Source organism: Homo sapiens, chromosome 20 (assembly GCF_000001405.40).
Source record: "Homo sapiens chromosome 20, GRCh38.p14 Primary Assembly".
Taxonomy (NCBI): domain Eukaryota; kingdom Metazoa; phylum Chordata; class Mammalia; order Primates; family Hominidae; genus Homo; species Homo sapiens.
The window spans coordinates 18,519,957-18,536,912 of record NC_000020.11 but is presented as its reverse complement, the minus strand read 5'-3'; the positions used below and the strand labels follow the sequence as shown (position 1 = coordinate 18,536,912).

The window sequence follows — 16,956 nt, the reverse complement described above, 5'->3', positions numbered from 1 at the left end:
CACTTAACAAATAGTAAATACACTTTCCTTCCCTTATGATTTTCTTAATAACATTCTCTTTTCTCTAGCTTACTTTATTGTAAGAATACAGGACATAATATATATTACTTACAAAATATGTGTTAATCAACTGTTATCGGTCAGGTTCCCAGTCAACAGTGGACTACTAGTAGTTAAGTTTTGGGGGAGTTAAAGTTATATGTGGATTTTTTTTTTTTTTTGAGATGGAGTCTCGCTCTGTTGCCCAGGCTGGAGTGCAGTGGCACGATCTTGGCTCACTGCAAGCTCTGCCTCCTGGGTTCACGCCATTCTCCTGCCTCAGCCTCCCAAGTAGCTGGGACTACAGGCACCCACCAACACACCTGGCTAAATTTTTGTATTTTTAGTAGAGACAGGGTTTCACCATATTAGCCAGGATGGTCTCGATCTCCTGACCTCATGATCCGCCCGCCTCGGCCTCCCAAAGTGCTGGGATTACAGGCGTGAGCCACAGCACCCGGCCGTTATATGTGGATTTTTAACTATGCAGTGTCAGCACCCCAACACTACTCAAGGGTCAACTGTAAAGTATTTTTTTAATCCAAGAATGAACAATGTTTTCAAAGACATAATGCTATTTAACACTTAACATACTATAGTGCAAACATAACTTTTATATGCAATAGGAAACCAAAATATTCATGTGACTTGCTTTATTGCAATATTCACTTTATTGTGGTAGTCTGGAACTGAACCCACAGTATTTCCAAGGTATGCCAGTAGAGTAAAATGTTAATTACAGAATCAAGTTGATGGGTTCACCTAGGTAGTACGTGTTCACCGTACAATTCTTTCAATTTTTCTGTATGTTTGGAATTTTTCATAATAAAATATTAGGGAAAGAACCGATGCACTAAAAAATTCACCAACATTATGATGACTGGTAAAATCTATTACACTTCTAATGACCTTATCAGTTCAACAATAAAAGGACAAAAGTAATTTGTTGCCTGACTCCGACTAAACCCTTGAAGGAATAAATAAGAAAAGGTCATGCCAGACTATCATCAGGCCTAATACAATACCCAAGGAATATTGGTTTGTGAAGAAAGTAACCAGAGACCACTGGTTTGAGATAAATCACAAAACAGGACACTAAGACATGAAGACATGTGAAGAAATCCAACTCACCTGATTGACAACTTCAAAATAGATGCCAAGTGTAGATGTAGGATCTAGGCCACAGATTTTCCACTGACTCGTGCCACCAACACCAAGCTCCTGGGGGTGGGAAGAGGAATTTGAAAAACAAAACCAGAAAACCATCCCTGTGGTTAATTGCTAATGAAAAGTACTGACTGAGTAGGGCAGGCTACTTAGAGTATCTTCTTTTAGGAGAACATTTAAGTTGAAATAAAACCTTCTCCTGAAAAGAGAACAGATGAAGGCTTAACATTTACATTTACACTTTAAAATTAAGCTTTTTATATTAACATTCTGACCAATTTTTATTACATCATATATACTATACATATATATTATTTATGTTTATTTATTTTGAGATGGTCTCTCACTCTGTTGCCCAGGCTGGAGTGCCGTGACACAATCACAGCTCACTGCAGCCTCGACCTCCTGGGTTCAAGCAATCCTCCCGCCTCAGCCTCCCAAAGTGTTGGGATTACAGGTGTGACCCATCGTTCCGGGTTTACACATATACTACGTGTGTGTGGGGGGGGGTGGGTGTGTCAGGGGGTGTCTCTACATGGTATATAACGCTGAAATCCACAAAGAATCAATCAAGTCAGACTCTTAAGAAAGACCCTTAAGGTGAAATCACACAGCAGCTCTAAGGTGGAGAGCGGAGAGGGTGCACTCTGTTCTGTCAGTACTCCCTAAGCTAGATAATAAGATAGATGGATTCACGGGGGTTCACCTTCCTTGTAGTGGCCTTTTCTAAAGGAAGCAGGTGTTTATTATCTGCTGGAAGGTGAAGAGCTGTGCTCAGGAAAAAGGCAAAGAAGTCAAAGGAGCATTCATGCCTCCCCTTCTTGCCTTGCTAACCCCATTCTAAGCACCAGACCCAGGACGGCTCCTCTAGAGCTCCAAAATATCATTTTCTCACTGATACACAAATTCCTTACTTAAACATTTGCTCTTTAGATGCCTTTATTGGAGAAACGATAAAGACAATTAGGAAATGACCATTTTATAATCCCCAAAGAAATAAACTGATTTGCATGAAGATCAATGGATGCTAAAAACCATTAGGCTGTTGGCAAACAAGAGTTTCATATTGTGCTACACACTCTCATTCAAAAGATTGCCTGCTAATGGCAAAGGGGGAAGTGTTCCCTTACAGTAGAAAGGCAGTGGGGCAGTTACCACCATCACCAAGCGATCTAACTCAGCACATGTAACACGGGACAGCAGACATAGTGCCTCTGGATGTGACACAAGCATAAAGTACACACTGCCCAGGAACAATGCTTGGCAAAAAGGCTTTGCCTGAATGTAAACACACCTTTAACCCAGACTCTCACTTTACAAAGGCTGTAATATCAAATGCAATGCCAGTTGGGGTAAAAACAGCTACAAAGGGCATTTGGGGGGAAATTAGGAAAAAAATATGAACTAGATATTAGGAAATTATTATTTTCTTAAGTTTGATAATGACATCGTGGTAGGAGAACATCGTTATTTTTAGAAGATGCATACTGACGTGCTTAAGGACTGTCATGATATCTGCAAATTATTTTCAAAGGTCGGCAAAAAAAAAGTTGATAAATCAAATGTGGCAAATAAATGAAAATCAGATAAAGCAAATGTGGCAAACAAGACAACAGAGCAATTATGGCAAAATGTTAACAATCAATGACTAAATGGTAGGTATAGAAATTCATCACTCAGTATGTCTGAAAATTGTATTTTCCTATTCTTTGCATCCTCATTCCCCAAACAAAACTTTCATGGCTGAATTCTACTAGAAATATTAATTAGTTTGTACTAATTCATAAAAATACCTTCTTAAACTACTTCAAGAAGCCTTCAGCAGGCAGATTTTAAGTCCATGAAAAATATTTTATAACAAGGCAGCCTTCCAAAGCCTTGCCAGGAAATAGGGGTACAAGCCCCTTAGTACTCTGGGGGTAATGAATGACTCATCAGATGGGCTTTAGGGCAGCAATCTGCCTCACTCAGAAGGCTACAGGAATGTGCTCTCAAATCACCTTGCCTCTGCCAAGCTCAACAAAAGTTTAATTTATGTGGTCACCCAAGAACGTTTGTTGCTGACAACATGAAAGAAGACCCACACTTCCAGTGTGCCAGGCACTAACTGCTTCACCTGAACCAACTCATTTAAACCTCCTAACAATGCTGTAGAGTGGGCACTGTTATTATCCCCATTTGCCAGATAAGGATACTGAATCACAGAGCAAATAAGTCCTTTGCTCGGGCCAGGTGCGGGGTGTAAACCTGCACCTTGGATCCACATCTGGCTCTATGGTCTACCCTCCCATTGATGGTGACAATGAGGGAAGAACATGACTGTGTAACCCCAGCCCAGGACCACCTTAGAGAGGCCTTGCCAAACCGAATGGTTTGCCTCCTAGCAAGTAAAGTATAATCAGAGGAAGTGGACAATAAGCAAAGCCGCTCATCTCAAATGATAACTAAATTGTTCTCAAAAACTATTACTAGAGAAAACAGATGTCTGCACACACAGCAGTGTCACCCACTTCCACACCAACTCATGGTGGTCTCTGTTGTAAAAGGCTTGTTATTAGCTGAGTGAGACAAACGTATCACCTCTAAGGGCAATGAGCAATAGGCTTACTCTGGAAGGACTGTGCTGAATGTTTGCCTTGTGCTGAACAGCATGCCGTGGCTTTGGCACAACGACCATGGGTGGTGGAGTCAGGGGCACCTGGGCTCTAACTCCTTCATGTCAGTTCTGACCCTGAGCAAGATACTGAACCTTTCTGGGCCTCAGTTTCCTTCTCTCTAACCCTTTGGATGAACAGATGGAATAACACCACCTCTCCGAGTATAGTCATCAGTGAGGGTTAGCCCTTCTCCTGTCACTGCAGACACATCCAACAGGTGACACATGTGAGATCATCATGCTCTGACACTTCTGACGGGTTAAATCCGGGGCAGGAGGTGAGGGTGATGGAGTTGTTTTCCTTACATTTTCTGACACACACGGTCCTTTCACATTCAGAGATACGCATGGACCAATGGCTCCTGCAATCTTCAGTTCCCGAGAGGTCTATAACAAATATGTGACAGTGTAAAGTTAAAGATCACTTCAATCCACCCTGCTGTCATCATGGCCACAATGAAAGCTTAGAGGGAAAATATAACACTACTATTCTGCCAAGAGAAAACTCCACAGGGATCATAACTGCTTAGTCCTACAAACTTTTCCTCAGCCACTGTGATTAGAACTTTAATAAAATCCACCCTTAGAAACACTTGAAACATGAGCATTTTCAACTCTCACAACTTACTTTTTAAACTTGGAAATTACTGTACATGTAGATAACAATTCTAACAATACTACATTCTTTTCCAATCCCTTGTATGAATATATTCACATTCATGTATATCCATAATTATTTGCATATACCTAATCAGAGAACATACTGTTTTGTGTTGCTTTAAAAATACTTAATTCATGAACTCCAATATAACGACAAGGCCAACATACTTAGATTTTTAAAATGTGAATTCATTTCAAAAGTCCATCTTTAAAAGAAAACCCTCAAGCATTTAAGATTATGGTTTAAAGTCTAACCTAGATGATTTAATAATTATCTCTAATTCTCCAAGTAATAATTCCAATCGTATCTTCTAATGACGGCCCCTGACCTGCCCCGCCAACTGGCAACTCTGTTGCCCAGGCTGAGTGCAGTGGCATGATCATAGCTCACTGCAGCCTCAAACTCCTGGGCACATGTGATTTTCCCGCCTCAGCCTCCTGAGTAGCTGGAACCACAGGTGTGCACCACCACACGAGGTTAATTTTTTTTTTTTTAAATCATTTGTAGACACAGGGTCTTGCTATGTTGCCCAGGCTGGTCTGTAATTCCAAAGCTCATGCAATCACCCCACCTTGGCCTCCCAAAGTGCTGGGATTACAGACATGAGCCACCGTGCCTGGCCTAACACCCTCTTTTAATGCTTTCTCAATGACTTAGAATCAGCTGTATCAGGGCCATGAGTCCCTACATGGGAAAAAAAAAATCTCAAAATGCTGTCTTTTTTTTTTTTTTTTTTTGAGACAGTTTCACTCGTTGCCACAGCTGGAGTGCAATGGCAGGATTTTGGCTCACCGCAACCTCCGCCTCCTACGTACAAGCCATTCTCCTGCCTCAGCCTCCCAAGTAGCTGGGGCTACAGGCATGTGCCACCACGCCCGGCTAGTTTTGTATTTTTAGGAGAGATGGGGTTTCTCCCTGTTGGTCAGGCTGGTCTCGAACTCCCAACCTCAGGTGATCCGCCCACCTCGGCCTGCCAAAGTGCTGGGATTACAAGCATGAGCCACCATGCCTGGCCCAGTGCTATTTTAGAGTACTTTGGCTATTCTTCAGGAAGACATTAAACATAACCACGTCTCTGTGCAATGCAGTGAGCCATGCTGATGGCTGGGTGGATGCAGACCACCGTGTGGCTGCCCCTGTCCTCAGGCCACAGTGCTGCTCATAACACCCACCCTACTTCCTCTTCTATCTCCTACTGCCTTGAAGCAGGGTGGAGCAGAGCCTGAGGGTGAACCAGGCAGCTTGTTACTTAGAACATAAATAAATATATAGGTCATCCTCAAGAAGCAAAGGGATAAAGTGAATAACATGCTTTTAATAGCCATTTGGTTGAGATCCTTTTAATTGGCTTTTACATGCCCATGTCCAGCAGGTGGAGGTTGCCAGAAGTCTGGATATTGATTGAAAAAGTAAGAACACTATAATTTCATTGAAGTTTTAAAAGTATGGCCAGGTACAGTGGCTCATGCCTCATAATCCCAGCACTTTAGGACGCTGAGGCGGGAAAATTGCCTGAGACCAGGAGTTTGAGACCAGCCTGGGCAGTACAGTGAGTCCACATAAAAAAAAAAAAAAGTTTACCGTACCTTTACGTCCAAAGTAGCACCAAATGCCATTCGGAAATCTCCATTAAAATCTTTAGTAAAGATTCTTTGGAATGTCTGCTTGAAGAGAGAAGTGTTGAAAGAATCTCCCATTACCATGTAGCCTCTAGGTAAGAAGAAAAAAATCAAGTGAATATTAGGAAGATTGAAAGCCATTCAGATGCTCCCTCAGTATTTACAAAAATAATTTAAAGAAAAAAAGAAACCAGGTCCCCAAAAGAGCCACTGATTAATTTAAATATAAAAAAACAGGCCAGGCACAGTGGCTCACGCCTGTAATCCCAGCACTTTGGGAGGCCAAGGAGGGCGGATCACTTGCGGTCAGGAGTTCAAGACCAGCCTAGCCAACATCGTGAAACCCCATCTCTGCTAAAAACACAAAGATTAGTAGCCACAATCCCAGCTACTCAGGAGGCTGAGGCAGGAGAATCACTTGAACCCAGGAGGCAGAGGTTGCAGCGAACCAAGATCGGACCACTGCACTCCAGCCTGGGCGACAGAGCAAGACTGTTTCTCAAACAAAAAAAAAATTAATAAATAAGTAAATAAATAATAAAATAAATTAAAAAAATAAAAACAGCATGTTAAATTCATACTTGGCAAAGAAACTACTTCTAAAGCATTAAACAGAAGCCTTAAGAACAGCTCTAATTCCTCTCACAGTTCTTTGGTATGGGAAAATACCCAGGCCTGTGGGAAATCCTTTTCAGGTTAATTTACTGCCTCAAAATACTGAATTCTTGACTTTACAAGAATTATGTTTTCCAACTCATGAGTATTAATATTAATCCCTTACTGAAGTTAGAGGAAAACATTGTGCAAAATGTCAGCATTTCATGCATTTGGACAGAAAAGCACAGCTTGACGCAAGTTATGCCTCCAAACGTCATTCATAAAACAAGATCTCAGAATCTTGAAGAACACAAGAAAGATCATCTGGTCCGGCCATCTCAGAGTGCCTGAACCGTCTGTCAGCTCTTTGGCACCAAATATCTACCTCTTCCTTAGTTTCCTGGAACAATGACATTTTCCAGCCTGCCTTGCCTATGGCCATGTGCCTCTGTTGGCATGTGCGTTCTGACTATTGCTGTGTCCTTTATATGTGGAGTGTGTTCCTCCAGGAAGAGCAATCCTTCTCTGACCTTTCCTCCTTCCTGCTGCTGTAAATGGCTAGAGCTCCAGCAACTGTCTTGAGCCACAGATGGCATATGAATGGTGGTAGAGCAGCTTAGTAGGAGCCTCAGCCCGTAATGATGACGAAAGCAACATACCAGCCCCGGACTGCCTACCGCCAGAGAAATAAACTTATTGTGGGTTTTCTGTGACATTCACACAACTCTAATACTAACACTCAACCAAACCCTCTGCAAAATACCTGCCAAGTTACATCCAGACTAGGCTTGAACTCCTCCAGCATTGGGAGCTTCCTCCCCAAGCTGTCCATTCTGTGTTTGAACAGCTCTGTTAAGAAAGGCCCTTCTTGATATTGAGTGAAATTTCATTTGCCAGCAGCTTCCACCCACTGGTTTGGTTCTAGTTCCACTCTTTGGTCACATACAGAACAAATCAGATTCCTTCACAGGGAAGTCCCTCAACTGCTGAATACAGTTCTCACACCCCCATGTGTCTTCAGCTTAATCTTTTCCAGCTACTTCAATCATTCCTCACATGACAGTTTCCAGGACTCTCCACCACTGCTCTTCTTCAAACATCTCCAATTCATCTCCTATTGCCCCTTGAAATTGCAATGTTCAGAACAGAAAACAATGTATTTGGATAAGGTGTGACTAGCACCAAAGAAACCAAGAATATGGTCTTCCCTGAAGATAATCTTCTCCTATAGCACAGCCTGGAATCACCTTGCCTTTGCTGGAAGTCATCCCACACTGTTGGCTCACCTTGAGCTATACTAACACATGTGTGCAACAGATGGTAACTCTTCACAGAAAAAATTCACACAAACTAGCATACAATCTAAGGGATGTTCACAAATACACTAAAGCTTTTCTATGGACATTCCGAGTCAGAACTCCTGGAAGGCCGTGGTAGGAATTCATACTATTAAATGTGGATTACTGAGATAGCTACATCAGTATCATTTGGGACCCTAATTCTATCACCTAACTCATCTGCTGCTCTCTAGGACAACTCCAACTGATTCTGGTTCTACCTTTTATTCCTTTTACTCACTGGGGACCAGCAGCATCACCTGTGGGGTTGTTAGAAATGCAGACTCTCAGGCCCATTCCACAGCTCTATGATGCTTCTCAAACTTCTGTGCATGCAAATCACCTGGGATATTGTTCAAATGCAGGTTCTGATTCAGGTCTAGAGTGAGGCTCAAGATGCTGCATGGTTCTCAAACTCGGCTCTATGTTAGAATCACGGGAGAAACTTTTAAAATGCTGATGCCCAGGCTGCACCTCATGCTAATTAAATTAGAATCTCTGAGGACAAGACCTAAAGAAAGTGTAGCTTTTAAAGTTCCCCTGGTGATAACAATACGTAGGCAGCTGCAGACCAGTGCTCATCAGTGGTTCCTACACTTTCATGTGCCCTAGAATCTCCTAGAGAGCTGCATTCCCGGGGTTTCCGATTCAGGAGGTCTGGGTAAGGCCTAGAAATATACAATTCCAATCAGTTCCCAGGAGCCCCTAAGGCTGCAAATCTGGACACCACCACATGTTGAGAACCACTGCTCCACACTCTGGCCTGTGAATACAATACTGACTCAGGCTTTGAGTCAGTACAACCTCTAGGCTGAGTGCACTTGGAGTTAGTCACAAAGTATGGCCACTTAGCCAGGTTTATCCTAGTTGTTTCAGCATTCAGACCCTGTTTTCCCCAATTCTCAAAAGGAAGTGCCCTGATGAAGGCCAGATAGTCCATGCTGCTTGCTTTCTTGGCCTGGTCTCTGTAAAAGTGTTAACAACTCTAAGGAAGAAATAAGTTACTCTGAAACGACTTATTTGTAGTGAACTCTTGAGCCCTCCTACTAATCACTACTTCCCTCTCCAAGGAGCCCACAGGCCCTCCCCAGTCACTGAAACCATAGCCCAGAGCTACCTGAAAGCTTCTCTGAGTTGGCCTTGCCCATTCCTATGGCTCCATCACTAATTTCTCTTTCCTTAAAATAACACTGTCACTCTGCCCAGGTTTTCACTGTCAACATACCCAGTAAGATTTGCACAACACTTCATCTCCAAAAGTCCAGTTTGATCAAGGGCACAAGCATAAATATCAATGCAGTGACCATTTGCAGCTGTTCGATTAGCAAGCATCTCATAGTGCTGTGAAGAGAGGAAAGCTATCTTTAGGAAACAGTGACATTATTCCCAAGGTATGCCTGAATTACCGAAGGAGGTAATCAAATATAAAAACATGTAAATCATTTTCTTTTCTCTTTTTGTGACAGAGTCTCTCTCTGTTGCCCAGGCTAGAGTGCAGTGGTGCGATCTCCACCTCCCGGGTTCAAGTGATCATCCTGCCTCAGCCTCCCAAGTAGCTGGGATTAAAAGCGTGCGCCACCATCCCCAGCAAATTTTTGTATTTTTATTTTTATTTACTTTTTGAGACAGTCTCACTCCGTCACCCAGGCTGGAGTGCAGTGGCACGATCTCAGCTCACTGCAACCTCTGCCTCCCAGGTTCAACGGATTCTCGTGCCTCAGCCTCCCGAGTAGCTGAAATTACAGGCACATGCCACCATGCCCAGCTAATTTTTGTATTTTTAGTACAGACAGGCGTTTCGCCATGTTGGCAAGACTCGTCTCGAACTCCTGACCTCAAGTGATCCGCCCACCTTGGCATCCCAAAGTGCTGGGACTACAGGCGTGAGTCACCACTCCTGGCTTAAATTTTGTATTTTTAGTAGAGATATGGTTTCACCACGTTGGCTAGGCTGGTCTTGAACTCCTGACCTGAAGTGATCTGCCAGCCTCGGCCTCCCAAAGCGCTGGGATTACAGCCGTGAGCCACCGGGACTGGCCTGGAAATCATTTTCAAAAATATCTGAATAAAATAAAAATATAGTTTTCATTCTCAAAACCCTTTGAGTAGTTTTAAGGCCACCCACTCTAATTAAGGTCTGAAAGTAGGAGCAATAATTTAACAGCAGCTAAGATTGGAAAACTGTCTCTGAAACAGCGTCTTGCTGACCATGACACATGACCTTGGCAAAGTAGCTGTCACTCCAGAGCAGCCCAAACCTGACAATGGGCTTTCAGAATTACAGCCCATACCCAAGAGCACCTACCTTGGTTGCCTTTTTCATGAATCGTGCATTATCTTTCTCAATATCATGCCAAGAACGAATAGGAATCTTTAATTCATCTCCAACCACCATGCCAGGCCCTTGGGTAGGGGGACCTCCAGTAAACAGCATGATCCTGGCTCCTGTGTTTGGAAAAGTGCCCTAAAATAGCGAATGGCAGCATGTTAGAAGTATACAGCCTCACCTTTTAGTATGGTTTCAGTTTCCCAATAGAAATACTCCAAAGATGCATTCTCTCCAGCTGTCCTAAAAAGTGGTGATAATGCAGAATAATACAGATGATAATGCAGAAAAGCAGCACTTGTCTTCTTCCAACCTTATGGGTTTGCACAGTTTTATTAATTCGCTGTTTGAGTGCTCCCTATTGCTCTAATTCTTAGTTTTTCAATGAAAACTTTTGGCATTTTCAAAATGTTGAGGGGCTCCCTCAACGTGAATGATAATGATGCCTCAAATGCTTTCTGATACATTAACACAGACGGTTGACTTAGATCACAAGTGATTTTCAAACAAAGCCAACAAATATATTTTCTGAGAGCACATTTGTATGATTTGAGAGGTCCTGGTAAATTTTAAATTACCTCCAGCAAGCCAACAGCAATGGACAAAGCCACACCAGTGGATCGCAAAGGTCTCTTCCCCTGAGTTACTGGCCATGGGTCCCTCTGTAGCTCCCCAAGAAGATCAGTGAGGTTCATATCAATCTTGTGAACAGGCTGCAGAAATCTGCAAGATTTTAACAGACACATCAACCCAGATTGAATAAAGTACTCTGGTCTTCAACACTAGGTGCCACATAATTACTGCTCTTCAAGATAATTATTCAGAGTAGTAACTGACTGGTAATTTTTTTCTTCAAAGCTATCTCTCTACTAACACAAAACAATTTAAAGCAGTTTTATTGAGGAATATAAAGCCCAGTACTTAGCAATTTACTTATGTTGCACGGAAAAAAAAATTGTCTGGAAAAGGAGCAATTCAGTTTAATTAATTTTTAGACAGCAAAAAAATCCTAAGGACATGCCTAACATGAGTTCAGTCTATGTGAGGTCCATTTATGTGGACAATCTTCATCATTCCTCATCATTCTAATCTGTGCTTCTCTTAAGCCTTGAAAGTAAGAGGTTGTCTTCAGCATGTCGGGCAATGCATTTTATCGAGCTTGTTAGCTCAGTCTAGGCACTCAATGGGCTGAGTCAAGTGAATACCCGGTCATAAGTATGTTTGAGGACACATGAAAGAAGTCTTTTCAGTTTTTCCAGTTTTACTTAAGCATCAAAAAGGACATCAGATGTGGAATGTCTAAAAACAGCAATTGAGCACAGTGGTCTCCAAACCTTTTTGACAAAACACTGAATATTGATTAGGCTTAATCATTTATCTTTTTCTCTAATAATAAGAAAATACAAATTCTAATATTTTTCTTCCCTTACTCCCATGGATCATCTGCATGTCCATCACAATACGTGTAACACTCCATGTTGGGCTCTCACCTGCTTGAAGCAAAAGGGTGCTCCTGTGGTTGTGCAGGTCGTGCTTGCTGCATGGGCATGGCTGGCTTGGTCAGGCCCAACATATCCTTAAAAAAAAAAAAGCCAAAAAGATTCATTTCCAATGACACTAAAAGTGAATGACTAATTTTTAAGAAATGTCCTCAGCTGGGTGTGGTGGCATGTGCCTCTAGTCCCACCTACTCATGAGGCTGAGGTGGGCCAATGGCTTGAGCCATTGAGCAATGATCACACCACTGAACTCCAGCCTGGGCTACAGGCTCTTTTAAAGAGACCCCAGTCTCTTTTAAAAAAAAGTCCTTGTTTCTGCTCCTGTACAAGTAAGGTACAAACCTGTATTTGCTTTGCAGTTAAATCCTTGGTCCCTCGGAAGACATAACTTTTGGAGATTCCTTCACAGCTTAGCTCATGAACCTGCACCATCCTTCCAAATGTGATCAGACCCACCAGAGCATCTGGAGGAAGAAGACTCAGGGACATCTGCAGGGACTCTTTGAGTGCTTGAAGGTCATCTTCCTCCAGGCATGTGTCAACCACATAGAGAAAGATCAGAGGGGACTGAGCACCTCGCTTTGGGCAAAGAAAAACAGCATAATGATCAATATACAAATAGACTTAACCAGCACTTTTTAAGGCAAATTAGGTATGAAAATTGTAAGTCTTCATCTATATTTAGTTTTAGGAGATAAGGACATCTATACAAAGCTCTAACTTATTAAATGACTTAGATTTTATTAAATCAAACTAAAGATAAAAACTATTTGTATCCAACAACTTTGCCAACATTTTTTAATACTTCCTACATGCTAGACATTGTTTCAGGTCCTGGGACACACAGTGAACAGAAAAAACAAAGACTTCTACCTGCCTCAAGGAGCAAACTTTCTGGAATGGAGAGGTTAAGGGGGACTGCAAACACCAGGAGGAGAGGCAGAGGGCAGAGTCAACTGTTAAACAGAGAAATCAGGGCAGCCTCATTTAGAAAGTAGCATATGAGCCGGGTTCATGCCTGTAATCCCAGCACTTTGGGAGGCTAAGATGGGAGGATTGCTTAAGCACAGGAGTTCAAGACCAGGCTGCCAACATGGCGAGACCCCGTCTCTAACAAAAAAAAATATAAAAATTTAAAAATTAGTTGGGGATGATGGCATATGCCTAAGGTCCCAGCTACTCAGGAGGCGGAGGCAGGAGGATCCCTTAAGCCCAGGAATTTGAGGCTGCAGTAAGCTATGGTTGTACCACTACATACCAGCCTGGACAAGAGAGCAAGACCCCATCTTAAAAAAAAAAAAAAGAAAAAGAGGGCCGGGCACAGTGGCTCATGCCTGAATCCCAACACTTTGAGAGGCCAAGACAGGTGGATCACGAGGTCAGGAGTTCAAGACCACCCTGGCCAACATGGTGAAACCCTATCTGTACTAAAAATACAAAAATTAGCCAGGCGTAGTGGGGTTCACCTGTAATCCCAGCTACTTGGGAGGCTGAGGCAGGAGAATTGCTTGAACCCAGGAGGCAGAGGTTGCAGTGAGCTGAGATCGTGCCATTGCACTCCAGCCTGGGTGACAGAGCAAGGCTCTGTCTAAAAAAAGAAAAAAAAAAAAAAAAGAAAGGAAAGAAACAAAGAAAGAGAAAGAAAAAGAAAGTAATGTTTGAGCAAAGCCTGAGGGAAGAGAGGGAAGGAGCACCACAGATACAGGGGAGAGCTCCAGCCTCAGGGAAAAGCTACAGCAGAGGTCCTCAAGCAGGAGTGTTAGCACATTTGAGGAGAGTCAAAGAGGCCCACTGGGCTGAACGAGGACACTAGCAGATACTGGGGTTGGAGTGGTAACACGTGGGGCTTTGAAAACTGTCTTTTACCCTGGGTAAAAGAAAGCCACTTTCTCCAGTGGGGTTTTCTGAACAGAGAAGTAACATGATTTTTTTTTCTTTTTTTTTTGAGACGGAGTCTCGCTCTGTCACCCAGGCTGGAGTGCAGTGGCGCGATCTCGGCTCACTGCAAGTTCCACCTCCTGGGTTCACGCTATTCTCCTGCCTCAGCCTCCCAAGTAGCTGGGACTATAGGTGCCCACCACCACGCCCGGCTAATTTTTAAATTTTTTTTGTATTTTTAGTAGAAAAGGGGTTTCACTGTGTTAGCCAGGATGGTTTCGATCTCCTGACTTTGTGATCCCCCCGCCTCAGCCCCTCAAAGTGCTGGGATTACGTGTGTGAGCCACCACGCCCGGCCGATTTGTTTTTAAAGAATTACTCTGGGCTGCCTCCTTTTTTGGACTCAGCCCGCCTGCACCCAGGTAAAATAACAGCTTGTTGCTCACACAAAGCCTGTTTGGTGGTTTCTTCACACGGACACGTGAGATATTTGGTGCCGAAGACCCGGGTCAGAGGGACTCCTTCAAGAGACCAGTCCCCTGTCCTCACCCTCACCCCGTGAAGAGATCCGCCTACGACCTCAGGTCCTCGGACCAACTAGCCCAGGGAATATTTCACCAATTTCAAATCGGGTAAGTGGTCTTTTCACTCTCTTCTCCAGCCTCTCTTGCTACCCTTCAATCTCCCTGTCCTTCCAATTCCAGTTCTTTTTCCTCTCTAGTAGAGACAAAGGAGACACCTTTTATCCGTGGACCCAAAACGCGCCGGTCACGGACTCAGGAAGACAGCCTTCCCTTGGTGTTTAATCATTGTGGGGACGCCTGCCTGATTATTCACCCACATTCCATTGGCGTCTGATCTCTGCAGGGATGCCTGCCTTGGTCATTCACCCACATTCCCTTGGTGACAAGTCAATTGTAGGGACTCCTGCTTTGGCTGCTCACCCACATTGCAGCCCATGGCTGCTCCCCACCCCCTACTCCGTGTCTCTACCCTTCTCTTTAAACTTACCTCCTTCACTATGTGCAAACTTCCGCCCTCCATTCCCTTCTTCTCCCTTAGCCTGTGTTCTCAAGAACTTAAAACCTCTTCAACTCTCATCTGACCTAAAATCTAAGTGTCTTATTTTCTTCTGCCACACCACTTGGCCCCAGTACAAACTCGACAATGATTCTAAATGGCCAGAAAACGGCACTTTTGATTTCTCCATCCTACAAGATCTAAATAATCCTTGTCGTAAAATGGGCAAATGGTCTGAGGTGCCTGACGTCCAGGCATTCTTTTACACATTGGTCCCTCCCTAGTCTCTGCTCCCAATGCGACTCGTCCCAAATCTTTCTTCTTTCTCTCCTGTCTGTTCCTTCAGTCTCCACCCCAAGCTCTTAAGTCCTTTTAATCCTTTTCTACGGACTCATCTGACCTCTCCCCTTCTCCCCAGGTTGCTCCTCACCAGGCCAAGCTAGGTCCCAATTCTTTCTCAGCCTCTGCTCCCCCACCCTATAATCTTTCTATCACCTCCCCTCCTCACACCCGGCCTGGCTTACCATTTCGTTCCACGACTAGCCCTCCCCACTTGCCCAACAATTTCCTCTTAAAGAGGTGGCTGGAGCTAAAGGCATAGTCAAGTTTAATGCTCCTTTTTTCTTTATCTGACCTCTCCCAAATCAGTTAGCATTTAGGCTCTTTTTCATCAGATATAAAAACCCAGCCCAGTTAATGGCCCGTTTGGCAAAAACCCTTAGACGCTTTACTGTCCTAGACCCCAGAGGAAGGCCCCCAGAGGAAGGCCGTCTTATTCTCAATATGCATTTTATTACCCAATCCACTCCTGACATTAGAAAAAGCTCCAAAAATTAGATTCCAGCCCTTAAACCCCACAACAGGACTTAATTAACCTCGCCTTCAAGGTGTACAATAATAGAGTAGAGGCAGCCAAGTAACAATGTATTTCTGAGTTGCAATTCATTGCCTCCACTGTGAGACAAACCCCAGCCACATCTCCAGCACACAAGAACTCCAAACGCCTAAACCGCAGCTGCCAGGGGTTCCTCCAGAACCTCCTCCCGCAGGAGCTTGCTTCAAGTGCCGGAAATCTGGCCACTGGACCAAGGAATGCCCGCAGCCCGGGATTCTTCCTAAGCCGTGTCCCATCTGTGCGGGACCCCACTGAAAATCGGACTGTTCAACTCACCAAGCAGCCACTCCCAGAGCCCCTGGAACTCTGGCCCAAGGCTCTCTGACTCCTTCCCAGATCTTCTCAGCTTAGTGGCTGAAGACGGACGCTGCCTGATCGCCTCAGAAGCCACCTAGACCATCACGGACGCCGAGCTTTGGGTAACTCTTACAGTGGAGAGTAAGTCCGTCGCCTTCTTAATCAGTACAGAGGCTACCCACTCCACATTACCTTCTTTTCAAGGGCCTGTTTCCCTTGCCTCCATAACCGTTGTGGGTATTGACGGCCAGGCTGCTAAACCTCTTAAAACTCCCCAACTCTGGTGCCAACTTGGACAACATTCTTTAATGCACTCCTTTTTAGTTATCCTCACCTGCCCGGCTCCCTTATTAGGTCGAGACATTTTAACTAAATTATCTGCTTCCCTGACTATTCCCAGGCTACAGCCACACCTCACTCCCGCTCTTTTCCCCAGTTCAAAGCCTCCTTCGCATCCTCCTCTTGTACCCCCCAACCTTAACCCACAAGTATGGGATACCTCCACTCTCTCTGGCAACCGATCACACGCCCATTACTATCCCATTAAAACCTAATCACTCTTACCCCGCTCAATGCCAATATCCCATCCCACGGCATGCTTTAAATGGATTAAAGCCTGTTATCACTCGCTTGTTATAGCATGGCCTTTTAAAGCCTATAAACTCTCCTTACAATCCCATTTTACTTGTCCAAAAACTGGACAAGCCTTATAGGTTAGTTCAGGATCTGTGCCTTATCAACCAAATTGTTTTGCCTATCCACCCCTTGGTGCCAAACCCATATACTCTCCTATCCTCAATACCTCCCTCCACAACTCATTATTCTGTTCTGGATCTCAAACATGCTTTCTTTACTATTCCTTTGCACCCTTCATCCCAGCCTCTCTTTGCTTTCACTTGGACTGACCCTGACACCCATCAGGCTCAGCAAATTACCTGGGCTCTACTGCCGCAAGGCTTCGCGGA

General features: G+C 43.9%; 1 protein-coding gene across 5 annotated transcripts in view, besides 1 other annotated feature; it reads right to left on the bottom strand.

Moving 5' to 3' along the window:
* The window catches only part of SEC23B (SEC23 homolog B, COPII component), a 53,868-nt gene that overhangs the window by 24,503 nt on the left and 12,409 nt on the right, over window positions 1–16,956 (bottom strand). For 4 of the 5 annotated variants that reach the window (NM_032986.5, NM_001172745.3, NM_032985.6 and 1 more), the window contains exons 5-12: window positions 12,244–12,480; window positions 11,893–11,978; window positions 10,981–11,125; window positions 10,382–10,540; window positions 9,302–9,417; window positions 6,110–6,233; window positions 4,169–4,249; window positions 1,171–1,260 (exon numbers count right to left, since the gene is read on the bottom strand). In NM_032986.5, the coding sequence (NP_116781.1) occupies window positions 1,171–1,260; window positions 4,169–4,249; window positions 6,110–6,233; window positions 9,302–9,417; window positions 10,382–10,540; window positions 10,981–11,125; window positions 11,893–11,978; window positions 12,244–12,480 (1,038 nt within the window). The remainder of the gene's footprint in view (window positions 1–1,170; window positions 1,261–4,168; window positions 4,250–6,109; window positions 6,234–9,301; window positions 9,418–10,381; window positions 10,541–10,980; window positions 11,126–11,892; window positions 11,979–12,243; window positions 12,481–16,956) is intronic. The other variant, NM_001172746.3, reaches the window with a different exon arrangement.
* Window positions 11,562–12,761: an enhancer, noted in NCBI's record as "MED14-independent group 3 enhancer chr20:18504796-18505995 (GRCh37/hg19 assembly coordinates)". NCBI's record gives its function as "activates an origin of replication core promoter dependent on BRD2, BRD4, P300/CBP and CDK7 cofactors, and independent of MED14, by STARR-seq in HCT116 cells {active_cell/tissue: HCT116}" and the evidence as "EXISTENCE:reporter gene assay evidence [ECO:0000049][PMID:35650434]".